This window comes from Homo sapiens, chromosome 5 (assembly GCF_000001405.40).
Source record: "Homo sapiens chromosome 5, GRCh38.p14 Primary Assembly".
NCBI lineage: Eukaryota > Metazoa > Chordata > Mammalia > Primates > Hominidae > Homo > Homo sapiens.
In genome coordinates this window covers 141,028,941-141,049,817 of record NC_000005.10, presented here as the reverse complement: position 1 = coordinate 141,049,817, position 20,877 = coordinate 141,028,941, and the positions used below count along the sequence as shown (strand labels likewise).

General features: G+C 36.0%; 1 long non-coding RNA gene across 1 annotated transcript in view, besides 3 other annotated features; it reads left to right on the top strand.

Annotated features, from left to right (window-relative positions):
• Positions 1 to 3,613, top strand: part of PCDHB1-AS1 (PCDHB1 antisense RNA 1) — a 31,827-nt gene extending 28,214 nt beyond the window's left edge. Inside the window, exon 4 of the long non-coding RNA NR_105056.2 lies at positions 3,252 to 3,613. This is a non-coding gene — a long non-coding RNA (PCDHB1 antisense RNA 1). The remainder of the gene's footprint in view (positions 1 to 3,251) is intronic.
• Positions 7,799 to 9,202: an enhancer, noted in NCBI's record as "VISTA enhancer hs2610". NCBI's record gives its function as "enhancer in: hindbrain (rhombencephalon)[2/7] | midbrain (mesencephalon)[2/7]" and the evidence as "EXISTENCE:transgenic organism evidence [ECO:0001131][PMID:17130149]".
• Positions 7,799 to 9,332: a biological region, named in NCBI's record as "VISTA enhancer hs2610".
• Positions 8,398 to 9,332: an enhancer, noted in NCBI's record as "H3K27ac-H3K4me1 hESC enhancer chr5:140420071-140421005 (GRCh37/hg19 assembly coordinates)". NCBI's record gives its function as "activates a minimal SCP1, AML or CMV promoter by ChIP-STARR-seq in naive H9 embryonic stem cells {active_cell/tissue: H9 hESC(naive)}" and the evidence as "EXISTENCE:reporter gene assay evidence [ECO:0000049][PMID:30033119]".

The following is a 20,877-nucleotide window of genomic DNA, read 5'->3' as shown; positions in this document are numbered from 1 at the left end:
TTTGAATTTTGTTTCTTTCCCTCATTTTTTAGCTCAATGTAAGATTGGTGTTATCTTTAGCTCTAGTTCATTTATTTCCATTACCGTATAAAATACCAATATATTGTCAATGTCCTTTAGCTAGAGACCATCAGACACACACCTGTAGTTGAACAAAGTTATATTTACTGACTTATTATAACAAGGGAAGCTGTACACCATAGAGAGTCATGGAGCATCTCAGTGAAACGGTGTTAGAAAGAACATATATTTGGTCTTGTGTTAGATGATTTGGGGGAGGTTTGAAGCAGAGTGCTCTGGATTGGATGTCATCATAAGTGGAGTTAACTCTATGATGAGTATATTGATAATTCTTATGTAGAAGGTGAGAGGAAAGGGGTGAGGCTAACTCTGTGATTGGTAAGTAAGCTGAAGTGACTAATACTAGCCAGGACAGAAAGATGTTTGGGCATTTTTGTGGATTGGACAATACTCTTTTTTGTCTGTATTTAGACACACTTATGGTGTGCTCTCATTTTCCTCTTGCTCCATCATAGTCATGGTATGGCCTTGTCTGATACTGGTGTCCTATGAAATCATTTTTTGTTCAACAGAAGATCACTATGTCCTAGCTGTGAGTGTCAGGCCAGCTCCTAGCTCTCGTGGACTGCTTTTGTCTTTTTCAGTATGAATGCAGCAAAATGCATTTACCTATTTTATTATTCTGCTGCTCATAGCATATCATTGTACGTGTCACTTTGTGCACATGTATACACATATTTTGGGGGGGAATATATACATAGAAGTAGCATTGATATCATAGGATATGTTCTTTTCAGCTTTACGTGATGTCACCAAACTGCTTTCTAAGAAGTTGTACTGGCTGGGCGTGGTGGCTCACGCCTGTAATCCCAACACTTTGAGAGGCCGAGGCAGACCAATTATGAGGTCAGGAGTTCAAGATGAGCCTGACCAACATGGTGAAACCCCGTCTCTACTGAAAATACAAAAATTAGCCAGGGATGGTTGTGCGTGCCTGTTATCCCAGCTACTCAGGAGGCTGAGGCAGGAGAATCACTTCAACCCAGGAGATGGAGGTTGCAGTGAGCAGAGATCGCGCCATTGCACTCCAGCCTGAGCCACAGAGTGAGACGCCATCCAAAAAAAAAAAAAGTTGTACTGATTTACACTCTCATCAGCAGTGCAACTTCTAGTTGCTCAAATTATTTCCAACACTTAGAATTACTAGTCTTTTAAAATTTTGACCATTCTGGTGAGTGACTGTGTTTACATTTCACTGATTAATTTGCATTTCTCATTAATTATTGATGAAGTAGACACTATTTAATATATTTGTAGTCATTGGAATATCATTTTTTGGGAAGTTTTTGTTCAGTTCTCTTGCCTTTTTTTAACATTGCATTGTTTACCTTTTTTTCTATTAATTTCTATTACTTCTTTATGTTCTATGAGTCCTGAATATATTAAAAAAGATGTTTATGCTTAGTCAATATACATAAACAGAGAATAGCCTTGAGCAATTTCGATAGAAAAAAAAAATGGAGTATACTACCCACTAATGTTATTTAGCATCATCAAAAAGGCTATTGGGGAGGTTTTTTTTAAAAGGAAATATTTATTTAGTGATTCACAAATTATGCAGAAGCTTCTGACATCCTAGGAAGTCTTAATACAATCAATTTCAAAATAATTCATCAAAAAAATTGTAAGTTAACAAATACATTCTTGGCTGGGTGTGGTGGCTCATGCTTGTGATCCTAGTACTTTAGGAGGCTGAGGCAGGAAGATCACTTGAGGCCAGGAGTTTGAGACCAGCCTGGGTAACATAGCAAGACCCTTGTCTCTACATACATACATACATAAATAAGGCATGGTGACAAAGCCTGTAGTCCCAGTTACTTGAGGGGAGAGCATTGCTTGAGGTCAGGAACTTGAGGTTACAGTGAGCTATGACTGTACCACTGCACTCCAGCCTGGGTGACAGAGTCAGTATCTGTCTCAAAACAAAAAAAATTCTTATGAGGTGAAGTTTAAGCAATGCTGCTTTTCTTTTTTTATTTTCTTTTTTTTTGTTAGTTTATTTTTAACTGACAGATAAAATTAATCATAGACAACATAGTATTTTGTAGCATATTTATATTGTAGAATGACTAAATTCAGCTAATTAACATATATATTACCTCACGTAGTTATTATTTTTGTGGTGAGAATATTTACCATCCATGTCTTGGGCATTTTTCAAGAATATGGTACATTGTTATTAACTATAGCCACCATGTTGAATAATAGATCTTTTGAACTTATTTCTCCTAACTGAAATTTTGTATCCTTTTGGCTCTCCAACCTCTCCTTCCTCATCCCAGCCCCTGGCAACCACCATTCTACTCTCTAGTTCTATGAGGTCAACTTTTTAAGATTCCACGTATAAATGAGGTCACACCATTATGAAAAACAGTATAGAAGGTCCTCAAAAAATTAAAAATAGATCTACCATAGAATCCAGCAATCCCACTACTGGGGATATTTTCAAAGGAAATGAAATCAGTATGTTGAAGAGATATCAGCACTCCCATGTTCATTGCAATATTACTCACAATAGCTGAGATATGGAATCAGCCTAAGTGCCCATCGGTGGGTAAATGAATAAAGAAAATGTAGTATATGTACATAATGGAATATTCTTCAGCCTTCACAAAGAAGGAAATCCTGCAATTTGTCACAACATGGATGAACATGAAGGACGTTATGTTAAGTGAAATAAGCCAGGCACAGAAATGCTGCTTTTCAATTCAGTTCCTCTGAATCTTAATCTGTTTGGTTAGCCCCAGGCGATTTATTAATATCTGCTAGATGGAATTAAAATCCAAAATATTTTCTTTTTCCTTGGAAAATGTTAGGACCTTTAAACATGGTGGCAGTTTTTTTTTTTTTTTTAAGCCTGTATACTTTCTGGTGAAGGTAAAATTGGGAACCCACAGACTAAATCTACAGCGTCGTAGCTTGTAAAGTCAGGATCAAAACCTACATGTTGGGAAGAGGGACAACCCACAGTTAGTAGGATATCATGAAGTTTTGGGAGAACAAAAATTCATTTCAAAACTGTATCTTAGTACTAACTTTTAAACTTCAAAAATCTTATTTCAAAATATTTCAGAGTTTTGGAAGAGTTACAAGAGTGTTTGTAATCACTTATGACTTACCCATTGGCTTACCTTAACTAAACTTTAATAAGGCTTCTCTTCTCCCCACAGGTCCCTGAACTTTAGCTGGCCCCAAAACTTGAGCAAGCTCTAAAAAGCAGAACATCTCCCACTTAACAGTTTATTCTGAGAACTGGCCAACCACAGGAGGGAAAATCATATCTCCAGTTAAAGTGCCCTGATCATGCCATCTGCTCATCCTACCCCCTTTGCCCTGCTCCCACACAAAGTTCCTGCTAGCCCTGTTTACGTCTTCTTTTTTAAACTCTTTTTTTAAAATTTGATTTTTAGACATTTGAAGATTTCCATGGTCAGAGGGTCTGTAATAGTCTTTTTTGAATAAAGCTGCTCCTTACCTAAATCCAGATTTGTTTTCATTGAATATAATAATAAATGACCATATTACTTTCACCTAGATTTATCAATTTTGCTACATTTGTACACTTTCTTTTTCATATTTATCTATTACTATATTATGTAATACATTATATATGCACATACATTATTCAAAAATAGTTATCTCTTCCACAGTTTTTATGGGAGATGTATACCTCTTCACTCCAATGGTGCTGAGTTTAGCTGCATGATATGCTTTGACTTTACATTGGGTTCACTATACTTCCCTACCTCTTGACTTTGGAGTTGGCCATATGAGTTATTTTGGCCCTCAATGGGACGTTAAGAGTGTTGTGGGTTGAATTTGTCCCCCAGAAAGATATGTTGAAATCCTAACCACTGGTTCTTGTGAATGTGACCTTATTTGGAAACAGAGTCTTAGCAAATGTAATCAAATTAAAATGAAGTCAAACTTGATTAGGGTGGGCCCCAAATCCAGTGACTGATGTCCTTATAAGGAGAGAGATTTTGGAGACTCATGGACACACATAGGGAAGAAGGCAACATGATGACAGAGACAGAGGTTGGACTGATGCTGCTACAAGGATTGTCCACAACCACCAGAAACTTGGTAGAGTCAAGGAAGGATCTTCCTCTATGCCTTCAGGGGGAGTGGAACCCTGCTGACTTCTTGATTTTGGACGTCTAGCCTCCACAACTGCAGGAGAATAAAATTCCACTGTTTTAAGCTGCTCAATTTGTAGTCATTTCTTGTGGAAGCCCTAAGGAAACTAATACACAGAGTGAAGCAAGTTGTGCTTGCATAATTGGGCTTGTCCTTTTGCTCTTCTGCTACTTTCATAAGAACATTCTCTGGATAGTCTATTGATAAAAGAGTGATGAAAGACACGTGGAACAGCACTGGACACAACCTACATATTGAAGCGGAGCATGGCTGATCTCAGCCTAAATCTTCTGACCCCAAGATGCATCAATGGGAATCAATGTTGCTTTGAGCTACTAATTTTTGAAGTATTTTGTTGCACTACATTCTATGACAATAGCTAACCTATGTAATATGTAAACATTTTATTTTGGCATAGTTAGCTGTAGACATTATGATATCATTCCTAAATATCTCAACAGGTACCTCTTACAAACAGGGACAGTATCCTTCATAACCTCAATACAAATTATCACACTCAGGAAGTTTAACATGAATACAGTGCTATTATCTAATACATACTTCATATTCTAATTTCCCCAGTTGTTCCAAGTATGTTCTTTGTGCTGGTTTTTTTTTTTTAATGTAGGATACAATCAAGGATTGCACATTGATTTTAGTTGTTATGTTTCTCTAGTTTACTTTAAACTGAAACAGGGAAAACATTTTTATGATGCTGTTTTTTAATGACACTAACTTCTTTTTCATGACACCGCTGTTTTTATTTAGTTAGTTATTTATTAAAAAAACTTTTATTGTAGGTTCAGGGGTACATGTGCCGTTTTATTATACGGGTAAACTCATGTCATAGGGGTTTGTTGTACAGATTATTTCATCATTCAGGTACTAAGCCTGGTACCCAATAGTTATTTTCTCTCATCCTCTCTCTCTTCCCACCCTCTACCCTCAAGTAGGCTCCAGTCTCTATTCTCCCTCTTTAGGTCCATGAGTTCTCATCATTTAGCTCCCACTTATACATGAGAACATGCAGTATTTGGTTTTCTGTTCCTACATTAGTTTGCTAGAGATAATAGCATCCAGCTCCATCCATGTTGCCATAAAAGACATGATCTGGTTCTTCTTTATAGCTGCATAGTAGTCCATGGTGTATATGTACCACATTTTCTTTATTCAATCTGTTATTGATGGGCATTTAGGTTGATTCCATGCCTTTGCTATTGTGAATAGTGCTGCAATGAACATTTGTGTGCATGTGTCTGTATGGTAAAATGATGTATATTTCTTTGGGTATATAGCCACTAATGGGATTGCTGGGTCAAATGGTAGTTCTGATTTTAGCTCTTTGAGGAATCACCACATTGCTTTCCACAATGGTTGAACTAATTTACACTCCTACCAACAGTGTATAAGTGCTCCCTTTTCTCTGACACTTCATCAGCATCTGTTATTTTTTTACTTTTTAATAATAGCCATTCTGACTGGTTTGAGAGGGTATCTCATTGTGGTTTTAATTTGCATTTCTCTAATGATCGACACTGATGTTTTTAAAGAGTTGTTTTACAGTATATCCCTCAATTTGGAATTTTTTGTTGTGTTTACCCTTGGTTAGATTGAGGTTAAATATTTTTGCAAAAATACCACATAAGTGATATTGTGTTCTTCTCAATGTATCACATCAGAGGGCATATGATGTCATTTTATTCCATCACTGGTGATATTAAGTTTGGCAATTTGGTTATAAAATGGTGTCCATCAAATTTTTCAGTTGGATAGGTACCTTTTAATTCTTTTTATAATTAATTAGTGATCTGTGGAGAGATTTGAAACTACGAGGATATGCTATTCCCAAAACAATTTTATTAACCATTGATTTCCAACATCCATGAATGATCCTTGCCTTGAATAAATACATATTTGTATATATATATATAGTATAAGTGTATGTGCATACGTATATCTATATGGGATCATGAGACTTACACTTTCAATACATTAATACAGATATCTTTATTTTCCTCCCCTACTTCATATTTTGTATTTTCCTTGTCCCAAAGTGAGAAGCCTTAGTTCACAACAGCATCAATATATTTACCCATCAAAATAAATCTCAAGATATACATTAAAGAATTTTGGAATTATTACACTATTACCTAAGTGCTAATTAACTTTTTTGAAAATCCACTCAGGGAGGCAAGAGAAATGTACTTAGTCGCATATTGAATAACAAATTCTTTTTACCCAATGTTCTTTCCTTTAAGACTCTACATTTTCTGCTTATAAAATTAGTTTAGATCAAAATTGATTCTAACATTAATGTAAAATGTATTGTTTATTTTTATTCATCTTTAAGTCATAGGTTTAAATGTTTCTGAAATTGTTCTGATGATAATTTTTTCACTATTTTCAACTTCTTTTAGAAAAAAAATACCTTAACTAAAATATTGGAGCATCTCTTCTGATTTGTTGCTTCTACTATTGTACCCAAAGTTCAGGTAGTTTTAAAATTTTAATATTGATAATATTTATTGTAATAGTAATTTTAACAGGCAGGTTAATATTTGGGGTCACCTCTAATTTTCATTCATATATACCTTTTAAGCCTGAAAAAAAAAGTCTATTTTTAGGAGTAGGTGTATTTTGAAACATTGAGGTCACACCTGCAGTTGTAAACTTTAGTACTATTTTAAAATTTTATTCTTCCATTGTGTCTTTTCATGCTTTTAAGGTTTCTTATTCATATTAGCAGAAACAGGATGCTTTGGTGGATAGAAGTCCTTTTTAGGCAGCTCAGTTTATTGCAGCTGCTCTTGATCTCCCATCTGTTGCTTTAAATGAGAATGCCTCTTATTGCTCAACCTGTGCATGTGCGTATAAAGTTTCCTTCTCCCACAGTAACACAAGAAGCCATAATATAAACCAATACCACTTATAGACTGGATTTGTAGTACACTCTTGTTTAAAACAGATGTCTTTCATCTTCTTACTATTCATGCTTTTTTTCATATTGGTAGAACAGGCTATGGATGTCTTTCCAGGAAATCTGACAAGTGTTTGGAAACGTCTCAATTTAATCAAATAGAGACTATATTAGAGTGATAATTCTTTCCCTTGATAAGCACTTATCAATTTCTCCTTTTTATAGAAAATTCAGTTAACACCAAAATCAGTACCTACATTTTTATTGAAATTAATATCTATTCAACAAAATTTTGTTTTAAACCTTAAAACAGAAATGGTAACTTTTATGTTAAGTAACTATGCTATTATATTTTTATTCTATGTTAAGACCCATAGAAGAGTAAATGAGAAAATAGCTATAAGAAAAGGAAATACTAACTGGGCTGGTTGACTTATAAAACCAAATGTGCCCTGGGATGGGTCTTTTTTCTGAGAGTGGTAAGATTGTTTGCTTGGGAAAGAATTTTATTTCACTCTCAACTTGCTAGAATTGATTTTACACTGTAACCCATACACCTGAACATACAGTAAGACTCTGAAACAACACTTGAACAAGGTATTTCCCCTATTTTTTCTTGCTATTTATCAAGATCTGTACTTACAAAGCAACTTAAGGTTTCCTCCTCTGAAGCTGGATGTATGTAATTCACAGTAACTTAATCATCACTGTGTAAAATAGTGTAAATAATATACACAGACTAAAAGTAATAAACATACCATAAATTTTCTGTATTTTTAGCACTCTGATAGTTTATGTATTAGGCTTGGAAAAAATAAAAAACAAGAGTTTTCATCCTAGAATTCCCACCACCTCTTACCAATTCCTAAATATAGTCACACTTTTCATCTTCCAGAAACTGAGATCAGAGTAGCACTCTCGGCTAAGCTTCCTGGAATATTTTTGGCTAACAACATAGTGCTTCCTTAGTATTTCTTTCAGTAAAATATACCCTGTGGAAGTTTTAGTAAATATTTCTAAATACCTATATATACAGATACTTTAAAAATACCTATTTGATTACAAGATGTGTTGGAAAAAATGCTTGGAGAAATTTAAACATATTCGTAAATTATTTTGAGTAGAAGCGAGAGATCACTCTGAAAATTCTAAATTTTTCCATTTCTCTTTAAAAATAGGCAGATCTCTCAAAAAAACCACTTCCTGACGCCCCAAATCTTCAATTTGTGTCTTTTAAGTTTTAAGTCTTAATCCAAAGAACCCTTTACACTTTATCAATAGCATTTTCCTCATCTGCCACCAGGTGGCAGGTGGATCCACTTTTCGGAACGCGACCCCGACCCCGCCCTACCGGAAGCTGTCATGTAAAGGAAATCTCTCTGGCCACGCCCAGAGTTCAGCACCATGGCCACGGACAGCGACACCGCCCAGTTCGGTCCCATGACTCGCTGCAGAGATTTTCACCACACAAAGGAAATGGCCAATCCCAACTGGTTCCAAGGGTCGCGTGACTGGCTAATTTACAATGCCAGAGGTGGAGGGGGGTAGGAACCCCTTGTTTTGGGATTTTTAGCCTGGAGGAGGAACAGACTGATATTAAATAATACACCATATTGCAAAATCCTGTGGTTGTTTTTCTCTCTCTACTCTCCAGAATCTCAGTGACTCGTAAATGCTGTCTTGCTGTACAGGGTAAAGGGGCTAGATTACCCAACCTCCGTGTGTTGGTTTATTCCGACAAAATGCGTAAGACAGCAAAGGCGGTACAAAAGTCAGTGTGCGTTATGGCGGCCAATACCTCGGCTTGCACAAAGCTGCCTGTCAGCTTTCCTAAGACACCAGCACTGGGACGGACTACATTTGCTTTTTCTCGATTTCCAATTAATTAATCTCGGAAACACAAACAGCAGCTGATTTTTTTGTTGTTGTTGTTCGCTTGAAATTACTATTTAAGGCAAAGACACTGGAGTGAAACACGAGTGTGTTCTAGAAGTAATGGTTTAGTTGTTATCTTCAGTTGCTTAGCGACTAATTAGACAAGAAGAGAACTTGTGGGTGGGGATTATTTGCGTTTTAGAACGGCAGAAACCAGGGGCAAATGAAAATGAGTTCAGGGGCTAGCGTTTAGAATCAATCTAATTAAATCTCAGTGCTGGGGAAGTAAGCAGCGCTAAAGAGGAACAGTAGGCAGTTAAGGTTCACAGGTGGGTTAAATTAAGCCGAGTTTTTGTTGTAATTTTTCCGTACCATATGGATTGCTTTCTCATTCCCCGTTGTTTTGGCGGCGACAAATTCGGATCTTTAACCAGCAGAGGGCGAGTCGACTGCATTTTTCAGCCCTCAGACACTCCCTCTTCCTCCCTTCTCTGCCCCTGGGAAATTAATTTACTAAGCTCTTCAAATACAGACGAAGCTGAGGAAGGTGTTGTGGAAGGCGAGCAGCGCGCAGGACTTGGCAGAGTGCCCGCCCTGTCAGCCTTGGATGTGTGGCTGCACCGCACTCCTGACGACACGGATCTCCTTGCTTGGGGCTGCAGAGGGGATTGCAGGGGTTGTTGCAGTAGGAAGCGGGGATGAAAAGCACCCCCATGCCCAGACGCCATAGATATTTAGGATCACTAGCTTCAGAGAACTGAGAGGGCCAGAGGTAGCCTAATAAAATGAATGTAAACCATGAAGTTGGAAAAGAGGAAAGAAACCGTTTACGTCTCAGGGCCAATACTCAGTGAGCTGGAACAATAACCAAAAGGGAGGGGCTCTGCTCTGGCTTTGCCTTTCTGGGAAGAAAAATTGGAGGATGAGGAGTAGGGAAAGGGAGAAGATGAGGGCAAAGACTAAAAGTTTGGCTGAGTCATCTTTAAAAGACAAGCAAAGCAAGCCAGCCCAAGGGAAGAGACAATGAAAGCAAGCCTGCCAGAATGCATTGCAGAGCAATAAAGCATGCTGTACAAAGTTAATTTATTGTTGGGCGGAGCCCTCCTCATTCTGGAGGGGCATACCACTTGCTCCAGAGGGATGATTTACTTTGTATTGTAAGACTTTGTAGAATCCCCCTGGCAGGCAGCCAGAACTCCCATTAATTCAGCATGTCCTTTCTCCTTCACATATTTATGTCTCAGAATTCGTCTAACTCGGTTTCAAACTAGTAAAATTAATTTTTTCTGGAGGCACTAAACTAAATTTTATGCAGTATTGCATTTTCTCTCCTTCAGTCATTAAATTTCTGTAGTGCTTGTGTTTAAAGGACACCATTTTATTAATAAATTCAATTCATAAGATAGTATTATATTCCCTTGGAGTTGGTATTGGAGAGGACAACAGTAAGATATCTTAAGATAGATCAACACTTTTCAGAATGCATGATTTGACTCACAGTTTCATGGCCAATTTTACAGATAAATTGCACTGTCATGGTGTTTTGCAGCACACCTGTGTTTCTGTAGCATTTCCCCTGTAAAAGAGCACTTGTAAATTTCCAGTGCATACACCCAAAATTTATTCATGTTGTTTCAAGATCCAAACAAGTGCCTAGTAGTATTGGCTAATATAATCTCCCCATAGAAACAAGAATTATCTTTTTAAAACCTAAGTACTAAGTCAGTGAGCAGGCACTTAATGAAAGAGAATATCCAAATAGCCAATAAGCATATGAAAAGGTTTACAACATCCTTAACTGTTAAAGAAATGGAAATTTAAGCCACAACTAAAAGCCTGTATCCATCCAAGAGCATGGCTAAATAAATAAATAATAAAAGCTGACATTTTCAAGCCTTGGAAAGGATGAAGCAACTCCAACTATCACACAGTACTGGTGGAGTGTAAATTGTTACAATCACTCTGAAAAGCTGGCAGCAATTTACTAAAGTTCAATAAAACATACCCGTAGATATGCACTCTTAGGTATACATCCAACAGAAATGCCTACGTGTATGTACAAAAAGACATAGACAAGAATGTTCATCATAGCTCAAACCTGGAAGCAATCCAAATGGATAAAGATGTTGTTGTTGCCATATACAGTAACATACACAGCAATGACAATTTTTTAAAAACTACTACATGCAACAATATGTATCAGCCTCACAGACATAATGCAATGTTTAGCAGGAAAAAAATCAGAAACAAATTTTTCTATGATTCTATTAATTTAAAGCTCAATAATTGTATAAACTACCCTAAGATGATTAAAGTGAGGATAGTGGTTGCCTCGATGGAGATAAAGACTGGAATGGGGAATGAGGGAGACTTCAGGATTTGGTAATATTCTATTTCTTGACATGAGTGTATTCACTGCAAAAATCTATTAAACTGCACACTATGATTTGTGCATATTAAGTATGGTATATTGCAATAAAAATATACTAAAAAATTTTACTGATGCAAATTGTATGTATTTATGGAGTACATGTGATAGTTTGTTTAAAAGACATAAGACAGATTATGTTGCACCCATGCTTAAAACAATTCAATGTCTTCCCATTGCATTGAGAGTAAAATCTAGATTCCTTAATATGGCCTACAAGGCCCTGCATAAACAAATCCTATCTAAATTTCCAATCTTATTAACCACTTCCTCCCTCAATTACCACACTTCAATTGCCCTGACCTTCCAACAGTTCCTAGAACATTAATCAATCTCTTTTCAGTCTTGGGGTCCTTGAGCTTGCTGTTTTCTTTACCTGGAGTGGGTTATCACCAGCTCTTTGCATGACATGTTCCTTCTAATATGTCAACTCAGATTAATGACGTCTCTTTAAAGAAGCTTTCCTTGACTCCCATCTAAAATCTCTGGGTTATTTTTCTATTTGCTGCCGTGACAAATTGTCACAATGTTAATTTCCCCTTGCTATGTAATATATTCACAGGCGTCAGGACTAGGATGTAGGCATCTTTGAGGGGGACATTATTCTACCTGCCACAGTGCACTTCTTTTATTGATTATAACATTATGCTTATTTTGGTAGAGCACTAATCACAATTTTAAATAACTTTATATATATTTGTTTACTTGTTCACTGTCTAACTTCTCCACTCTAATGTAAATTCTAGTGAGAGCAGAGACCGTATCTGTCCTGTTCTCTTCTGTTTTCCTGGTGCTTAGCATGATAATTGGTACATTGTAGGGGTTCAGTAGGAATTTGTGGAAATAATAAGTAAATTATAAAAATTTAGACTCTGCTTTGATACTTAACAGCCCTGTTTGCTTTTTATCGTTCTTGCTCATATAAAAATATATATTATGTCTCGGCAGTAGAGAAATTTCTGAAGAGATATTAGCATAGATTTTTTTCAACTTCTCCATCATACTAACTCACTATAAAAAATCATGCCTACAGATATGGGCCCATATATGTCATATAGGCCCATATCTGTAAATTGATTGTAAAAATTTACACTCTACCCTATATAGCTTCATATATGTATATACATATATCTTCATAATATAACTTTATGTTTTATTGGCGTTAAAAGGATAGTTCATAAATTGCCACTTCATGGAAAATAGCACATCATAGGACTCATGAAGCTGAAGCAAAAATACTCTAGAATAAAGAGTTAGAATTTGTTACAGTCACATGAGAAAAAATATGGTACATGGGGCTGTAAGTCTGATCCTATGATGTAGCTAGAAAAACAGTTATCTGTCATCAAATAATCATTGCTTATTTCTCTTTTGCCGGGTTGTAATACCAGATACCAGAAAATTTAAAATACTTGTTAATTTATTCATTTATTCAGCAGATATTTATTGAGCACCTATGAAGTGCCAGACACTAGACTCTGGGCATATAGCATCAATAATATATGGTATGCATTATTAGGGAACCCCTGCCTTTAGGGAGCCCAAAAATAGATACACAATATTATATGAAATAGTGGCAAATGTTATAAAGGAGAAGGGGGATGATGAGAAACCAATTAAGGGTTTTTAATGGAGATTTGATTTACATTATAAAAAGATAAGTCTGGCTGTTGTATGGGTAGAAGAAGGGAAATTCATTAGAAGCTCATGGCAATAATGCAGGCCAAAGATAATGGTAGTTTGTACAAGGGTAGGGGTGCTGAAGAAGTTTAAAAAATTGGTTGGGTCTGGAACTTTTTTTTTTAATTGGCATGATTTCATGATGGATTTAATGGAAAATGAAATAATAAAAAAAGAATGCTCTCTGTTTTGAATATCTTAGTGATTGGTGGTGTCATTACTAACATGAGGAAAGTTAGGGTTAGTTTTGGAATGGAAAAATCAACAATTTTATTTTGGACATGCTAAATTTAAAATGCTTGTTAAACATCTAAGTCATATCAAGTGGGCAAATGAATATTTGGATCTGGGGACTTAGAGGAGATACTATATCTACAAATATGAATTTTAAAGTAAAGATTAGGAAAACTATAAAGCAATGAAATGAGGTCACCTGGAAAATTCACGTAGATAGAGAAGATGGTGAATCCTAGCACACATCAGCTTTAGAGGTCTAGAAAATGGAAAGAAGCCAGCAAAGGAGACTGAAGGAGGGAATGACCAGTGTGGTAGGAGGAAATCCAGGAAAGAATGTCCCCTGAGAACCATGTGGAGAAACTGTTTGAAGGAGAAAGGAAATACTGCTTTAGTTTAGTAAAATGAGGCTTGAGATAGAAAGATGGAAACCTCTTGTGACCTTGGCAGAGCAGATTCAATGAAGTAGTAAAATAAAAACCTGATCTAATATGATAATCCATTATGAAAATATTACAGAGCTTGAGTTCATTGTAAATAATGCTACTTGAAGTAGAGGTCATATGAATTGCTAAGATTGATGGTCTATATGCATATAATTAATTAACTTCTAAATTCACTATTTCTTAGTATTAGTAGATCAAAGTATATAGATTGTTTTACTGTAATGATGGCTGCCTAAAGGGAATATTGAGTCATAATTTCTTCATAGCTCTGAAGATACTATTTAATTCTATGATTTGTAACAATGAAAATAATAGTTTTAAATTCTTCCCTTCTTCTGAGATATTACAAATACCTACTCTGGGCCTCAAAATAGAAAAATAAGCTTCCTTTGTGAAGAGCTCTTTGTTAAACTTCCTATTTTACTGAGGACTCCATATGATGCACTGATGTTTGCAAAAGAGTTCTTTTATTACTTGTGTTTGTACCATGATGAGGCTGTTTCCAATAATTGTTGTAATTACTAGGTCTCCTAATCTTGCAAATTGTCCACTCTACAAAGCTCAGTTCCATCTGATGGGCCCAGTAAAGGAGCTTTAGAATGCTGTCACCTGAGCCAGCTCTTTTCCACAGCATTGTTCAATCAAGGGACTTCTCTTCTAAAGATTGTTTTTTACCTAACACTCAATCACCACTCTAGTCATTCAGTTACTAAATATTATTAGGCATCTCCTATGTTTGGCCTCTCCTGGAGTCAGAAAATGTAATGTCGAATGAGATGGATCCCATCCTAGCCTCACAAAACTTAGATCCTAATGGGTAAGACAGACAAAAAAATTGTTACAGCAAATATGTTACAGACCGCCAGCATAAGAATACAGGGTAATAGAAGAACTCAAAACTACAGATGGGAAATGGGAGGCTGGGAAAGGCTGGGCTCTGAAAGATGAAGAGTTATCTAAGCAAAGAGGAAGGAAAACAATTGCAAAAAGCTTGTACAAAGATTTAGAAGCAATGAAAGGATAGTGCATTTGAAGAACACTGTGGAAAAGGGAATAAAATTTATCATTATTTTTCTCTCCTTTAGGGTGACTTGCTTTAATACTTCTTAGTGACCTTCAAACCACCTTAAAAATTGATTATTCATTGTCAGATTTTATTTTTTGCTTGTAAAGGCTATTTATTTTTGTGTAGTAATCAGTATTCATTAGCTAATAAATATTATGATAGTGCTTATCTGTATTAGCTAATATTTCTCTATTATATAATATATAAACTATAAAAATATATAATATATAAATTATAAAAATATATTACCTAATATATAAATTATAAAAATATACAATATATAAATTACAAAAATATTATATAATATATAATAATTAGAGAAATATTAGCTAATACAGATAAGCACTATCATAAGGTGATAATCAATTTTAGTAATATTTTTGAAATTCTTTTCAGATAATTTTCGAACATTTTAAAAGTATTATTCTCTAACTCTTCCAAGATTGCCTAACCACTCCAATTTTTCATTAATTCACTCTCATGAGGCTCTAAGGGGTTTCTGTACAGATTAAGCATTTCCTCTTATTCCAATTCCATAATATGAATCATGATGAATATAATAATTTATCAAGAAATATTTAATAAGTGATGCTTTATTTCTAATATGCTCTGAGTATAACTGAAAGAAATTCAATTTTTCTAAGATTTAATAAACTCAAGATAACACCTAACTGATGATTCATTCTCTTATTATTCCTGGAAATCTGGGTGTGGAAGAGGTAAATGAAAACACATAATTAGGTGTTATGCAGAGTTTAAATTATAATTTTTTTTCTGTGCAAAAGAGAGACCCGGTATAGTTTTAATTTTACATATAAGGAAACTGAAGGCCAGAAAAGTAGAATGTCCAATATTACACCTCAAGTTAGCAAAAAAAAAAAAAGTCCTGGAAATCAGATTCTGACTCAAGTCTAGTGCTTTTCTCATTATGATAATATCTTTGTTCCTCATTTTTTCTTTTTCTTTTCTTTTCTTTTTTTTTTTTTTTTTTGAGACAGGGTCTCACTCTGTTGCCCAGGTTGAAGTGCAATGGCATGATCATGGCTCAGCAGCCTAGAACTCCTGGGCTCAAGCGAACCTCCTGCCTCAGCCTCCAAAGTAGCTATGACTACAAGTGCCTGCCATCAGACCTGGCTAATTTTTTGTTTGTTTGTTTGTTTTTGGTAGAGACAGGGTCTCACTGTGTTGCCCAGGCTGGTCTTGAACTTCTGGCCTCAAGTGATCCTCCTGTCTTGGCCTCCCAAAGTGTTGGGATTATAGGTATGAACTACCACACCTGGCCTCAAAGTGCTTTTGATCTTTAAAAGTTTGAGGGCCACTGCTTAGAAATCCATTTGTTTAGTCAATAAATATTTATAAAGGACCTATGACATTTTAGGATTGTTCTAGGTATTGGGGATACAGCAGTGAATGATTGACAAAAATTTCTGCTTTCTGGGAACTGGAGAGATCATCAGATCACTGATACCAGCTGGGATATTTATAGGACTGGATACATTTGAATTTCTGGTATGTGCACATGTACATGTGTGTGTGTATTCAGCTGGTTTCATTTACATTTGAGTATATGAAGATACAATTTCCATGCAATAAAACTCATTATTTTAAGGGTACAGTCTGACAAGTTTTGACGAACATACATAGTCATTTAACTACCACCACAATAAAAATATAGAATATTTTCATTACCCCGAAAAGTTCTTTCATGCCTCTTTGTATTTAATCCTTTACCCCACCTGCAGCTTCTGATAAAACTGATCTGATTTCTATCCCTGTTTAAATGGAGTCACACAGTAGGTACCTTTTGCAGCTAGCATTTTTCATTTAGCATAATGCTTTGAGATTCATCCACCTTATTGCATGTATCCGTAGTTGGTTCATATCCATTCGTCTCCAATGTTCAGTAATTGAGCTTCAGTTTTCGCATCCTGAGCACAAAGACCAGGTGAAAAGATTTTGAATCAACTAGTGTAGGAAGTCTAGTAGGAGATTCATCAAAGGAGAGACCCTGAGATGAATATAACTTAGTGTTAAGTGAACTAGATATGACTTCCACCCAGGGACTACCAAAAATCCCTAGCTGAAAAATCTGACTGTTCCTGAGACTAACTGTAGGGGCAGGATGGTGGGGAATAGGGATCACAACTAGGGATCTGGAACCGCTTGTGGCTTTCATGTAGGGTTTTTTTTTTTTCCTTAATTGAAATATTGTATCTTATTTTTTTAATTTTTAATTTTTGTGGGTACATAGGTATATTATTTATTCTCATGTAGTTTTGAAGCTTGTATTCACTAGACATGGATAGTTGGGAAAAGAAACAAAACTTCAAGTTGAAAATATAACTTTATGTTGATCTCAAACTTGTAGTACCCCTGGAGCCTGGACAAAGCAAGTACAAATTATCTCTAGAATAATCCACCTTTAACCCAGGCTTCAAATAATTTCTAAATATAGAATTCTAAGGAAAGTGAGCGATTTACCATAAAAAAAACCAATGTCACAAGATACTAGATTGAGATCCAGCAGAAATAAAAACAACTGAAGCAGGCATACAGTGACTTCAGATAATGAAATTATTGAATACAATATAAAAAGATTATATTTAATATATTTAAAGAAATAAAAGATGAGTTTGAAAATAAGCAGAGGGAAAACATCATGAGGAATGAGCAAGCATATTTGGATGAAGAGCACATAAAACTACAAATACAAAAATGTAATAAATAAAAGTTTAAAATTCAGTTAGTAGGTTTAAGAACAAATCAGACATGAATGAAAAAGAATAATAGACTAGAAGACAGGCAGACTGTAGGAAAGACAGAAAAAAGATAGAGATTATAAAAAGAGTTTAAAAGACATAGAAAATGGAGTGAAATGATAAACATAGGTATAATTGCAGTCTCTGAAGGATAAAAGAGGAGTAGAAGCAACATTTAAAGAGATAATTAATTAGAATTTTTCATAATACCAAATCACAAATTCAGAAACCAAATGAATCTCATATAAGATAAAAACAAATAATCACATACATATAGCATAGTATAATTGCAGGACAGTGAAAATGAGAAAGATTATCTTAAAATAGATATAGAAGAGAGATTTCTTAAAGTGGTGACAGACTTCAGCACCATAGGAAAGGTAAATTTTTTTAAAAAATTTAAAAAATAGGATGGACGCTGTGGCTCATGCCTGTAATCCCAACATTTTGGGAGGCCAAGGTGGGTGGATCGCTTGAGGTCACGAGTTCAAGACCAGCCTGGCCAACATGGTGAAACCCTGTCTCTACCAAAAATACAAAGATTAGCCAGGTGTGGTGGCCAGTGCCTGTAATCCCAGCTACTTGGAAGGCTAAGGCAGGAGAATCGTTTGAGCCTGGGAGGTGAAGGTTGCAGTGAGCAGAGAGATTGCACCACTGAACTCCAGCCTGGGTGACAGAGTGAGACTTTGTCTCAAAAATAAATAAATAAATAAATAGTAAATAAAGTAGTGACAGACTGAGAATGAACTCAGCAGCAAAAGAGGAACGTGAAGACAATGGAATGATATTGTCAATGTTCTGATATAAAATAAAGTTAATCTAGAATTCAAAGCCTAGCATAAACATGGAGAAACCCCGTCTCTACTAAAAATACAAAATTAGCCGGCCGTGGTGGTGCATGCCTGTAATTCCAGTTATTTGGGAGGCTGAGGCAGGAAAATCGCCTGAACCCGGGAGGCGGAGATTCCCGTGGGCGGAGATTGCCGTGAGCCGAGATCGCGCCATCGCACTCCAGCCGGGGCAATAAGAGCCAAACTCCATCTCAAAAAAAACCTCAAAAGCAAATATGAAATAAAGACATTTTCAGACCCCAAAAAACGAGTTTGCCACCAACAGACCATACACTAAAGCAATTCTAAAAATTACACTTCAGGCAGTATCTCCTTTTTAAGGCTGAATAATATCCCATGGCATATATTTGTATCACCATTTCTTTGTTTGTTCATCAGCCAATGGACAATTGAGTTGTTTCCATACTTTGGCTCTGTGAGTAATGCTGCAATGAACATGGGAGTGCAGATATCTCTATGAGGTTATGATTTTATTTTCTTTAGGTATACATCCAGGAGAAGAATTGCTGGGTCATATGGTAGTTCTATTTTTAATTTTTTGAGGAATATCCATACCATTTTCTTTAATGGCTATACCAATTTATATTCCCACCAGCAGTGTACAAGTGTCCCTTTTTCTCTAAATTCTTACCAACACTTGCTATCTCTTGTCTATTTGATAATAGCCATCCTAAGAAGGAGACACTGCCATTTACAACAACATGGATGAAACTATGGGATATTATACTAAGTGAAATAAGCCAGACACAGAAGGAGAAATACTGCATGATCTCACTTATATGGAGAATCTAGAAAAAAATCAAATACAGGCCGGGCACGGTGGCTCACACCTCTAATCCCAGCACTTTGGGAGGCCAAGGCGGGCGGATCATCTGAGGTGGGGAGTTCAAGACCAGCCTGGCCAACATAGTGAAACCCCCTCTCTACTAAAAAACTACAAAAATTAGCCAGGCATGGTTGCGGGCGCCTATAATCTCAGCTACTTGGGAGGCTGAGGCAGGAGAATTACTTGAACCTGGGAAGCTGAGGTTGCAGTGAGCTGAGATCACGCCACTGCACTCCAGCCTGGGCGACAGAGTGAGACTCTGTCTTAAATAAATAAATAAATGAAACATAAATAAAAAAGAAAATGCCATCATGATTATGTAGGAGAATGTCGTATTCTTAGGAAGTGTATGCTGCTTTATTTAGCAGTGATGTGTCATGTCTAAAACATACTTTGAAATGATACACCAAAAATTACACAGAGAGGAAGGAAGAGAGTGAAGGACAGAAAGGGAGACAGGGAAGGAAAGGTTAAGGGAGAGAGAAAGAGAGAAGTAAATGTGGCCAATGTTAAATGGTGAATCTTGATGAAAGGAGTATAGAGGTTTATTTTACTATTCTGTTGACTTTTCTATAGGTTTGAACTTTTTAAAATAAATAAAATTGAGCATTGCAATGATCTTTTCAGGCCAAGTACTAATTTCTAAAATGAAGAATAGTGGTTTCAAATGAAGTCATTTGAACCTACAGCCAAGTAGCTATGAGTACTAATTGTTTAAATATAATTATCTTAAAACTTGGGCCGGTTGCAGTGGCTCACCCCTGTAATCCCAGCAATTTAGGAGGCTCAGGCAGGTGGATCACTTGAGGCCAGGAGTTCAAGACCAGCTTGGCCAACATGGTGAAACCTCATCTCTACTAAAAATACGAAAATAAGCCGGACATGGTGGCGTGCACCCGTAATCCCAGCTACCTGGGAGGCTGAGGCATAAGAATCACTTGAACCCGAGAGGTAGAAGTTGCAGTAAGCCAAGATCACACCACTGCACTCCAGCCTGGGCAACAGAGCAAGACTCTGTCTCAAAAATATAATATAATATAATATAATATAATATAATATAATATAATATAACATAATATAATATAATATAATGTAATAATTTTTAAACTATAAAACAGAAATTAGAGGAGAAATTGGAGATAGTCAGTATAGGGAACACTTTCAAGGAATTTTTTGTATAAAGAAGAGAGAAATGTGCAGTAGCTGGAAGGAAAAACGAGGTCAATAAATAGTTACTTTAAGATGTGAGAAATAACAACATGCTTGTATGGTGATGGGAAAGATCCAGTAGGAAAGAGAAAATTGATAATACAGTGGTGGTAGAAAGCAATGTCCTTGAGTACATGACACAGGGAGTTCATCTAGTAGTCACAGAACATAACATACAGTACAAGAGAACAAAGGCAGGTCAGTAGGTCAATGAGATAAGACTTATGGGCAGCTCCTCTGATCACTTCATTTATCAAATTTATTTGAAGTTAGATGCTCTACTGATGGAGGAGTGGGAGGAGTGCTGAAAGTTGGAAAGACATCAGAATGTAGGAATTGGTCAAGGTAGGATGGATGCAGACGAG